Source organism: Homo sapiens, chromosome 13 (genome assembly GCF_000001405.40).
Source record: "Homo sapiens chromosome 13, GRCh38.p14 Primary Assembly".
NCBI lineage: Eukaryota > Metazoa > Chordata > Mammalia > Primates > Hominidae > Homo > Homo sapiens.
The window spans coordinates 24,715,652-24,717,371 of record NC_000013.11 but is presented as its reverse complement, the minus strand read 5'-3'; the positions used below and the strand labels follow the sequence as shown (position 1 = coordinate 24,717,371).

The 1,720-nt window shown below is 46.6% G+C and overlaps 1 annotated feature.

Moving 5' to 3' along the window:
- Positions 826-1,470: an enhancer, noted in NCBI's record as "OCT4-NANOG-H3K4me1 hESC enhancer chr13:25290040-25290684 (GRCh37/hg19 assembly coordinates)". NCBI's record gives its function as "activates a minimal SCP1, AML or CMV promoter by ChIP-STARR-seq in naive H9 embryonic stem cells {active_cell/tissue: H9 hESC(naive)}" and the evidence as "EXISTENCE:reporter gene assay evidence [ECO:0000049][PMID:30033119]".

Here is a 1,720-nt window from a genome sequence, read left to right as displayed (position 1 = left end):
ACCTAGCAGGTGCTAAATTTGAAACAACGAAAGTGGTTGGGTGTGGTGGTTCACACCTGTAGTCCCAGCACTTTGGGAGGCCAAGGTGGGTGGATCACTTGAGCCCAGGGGTTCAAGACCAGCCTGGGCAGTATAGCCAAACCCCCTTTTTTACAAAAAATACAAAAATTAGCTGGGCGTGATGGAGTGCACCTGTAGTCCCAGCTACTCAAGAGGCTGAGGCTTGAGCCCGGGAGGCAGAGGTTGCAGCTGAGATCACACCATTGCACTCACTCTAGCACCCCAGCCTGGATGACTGAGTGAGACCCTGTCTCAAAAAAAAAAAAAAAGAAAAGAAAAGAAAAGAAAAAAGATTGAAAGCAGAGGCGGCGGGTGCGGGTGGAGTGGAAGAAATCCCTTTGTGTAAATAGAAAATGTAAAAAAAAAAAAAAAAATTAGAAAAAAAGAAATCCCCCAAACTACAAATAAACTCTTGCATTGAAGTGCTTCACTCCACCGAATCTCTATCTACCTGCACAGCAAGTCTGAGGAGGGCAGCTTCTATCCCTTTAAAATTAATCAGGCTTTTACCTTAAATTTCCAGTTAACTTTATCTTAGAACCTCTGGACCAAGAAGATAAAATCCCCCAAGCTTGGTTCTGGTATGTCAGAGGGGAGGGTGGGAAAGTAGGAATGGGGACGGGGAAGAAGGAGCTTGCTGAGAGAACTGGTCTGAAGCAGAAAAAAACGGCATCCCTGCCCAATAGCAGAATGGCCCTGGAGCGTGCGGGGGTTCAGGATCTCGGACGGGCTGGGTGCCTAGCTCCACGGAGGGGCTGAGAAGGACCCTAAATGAGGAGGGAATTGTGTTCTTCTTCCTCTGTTCATGGTGTAAGGATAATTTTTTCATACAGATATAACAGTGAACACATATTAAAGATTTTTTTTTAAAGCTCACCACTTAAATAGGAAACTAGGCAGTTGTTAAAATCTACTGAGAGGAGCAAAGAGGCACGCTTTTATCTGGAATCAGGAATGTTGGCTGATTGTGCAAAGGGAGCAAAACTGGCTTTTCCAAGGAGGAAAGATCTTCACCCACTGGGTAGGATTCATTTGCATATCTATAGAAATACTTTCTGTTGCTCTCAGTTATCAGTAACCTGCAGAGCTGTAAGACAGAACTCAACACCTGCAGGCTATGCTCTAGAGGCATCTATATTCCATCGAAGGGCAAACTCTCCCTAAACCACTTGCCAGATTCTACAGTGGAGCCTCTTAGTGGTCAGGAGAGGTCACAGTGCCAGGAAGTCACTGGGCCTCTAGGCTTAACTTCCTGAGTGTAAAGCACGGCTGATGCCACAGCTGACGGGGCCGTTGTGAGCGTTAATAAGATCATGCTGTTAGGAACCCAGAACATAATAGATACTTAACAAATATCAGTGATTGCCGCTGTCTTTTTTTTTTTTTTTTTTTTTTTTCAGATGGAGTCTTGCTCTTTCACCCAGGCTGGAGTGCAGTGGCGTGATCTCGGCTCACTGCAACCTCCGCCTCCTGGGTTCATGCCATTCTCCTGCCTCAGCCTCCTGAGTAGCTGGGACTACAGGTGTCCGCCACCGCGCCCGGCTAATTTTTTGTATTTTTAGTAGTTACAGGGTATCATTGTGTTAGCTGGGATGGTCTCGATCTCCTGACCTTGTGATCCGACCGCCTCGGCCTCCCAGTGTTGGGATTACAGGCGTGA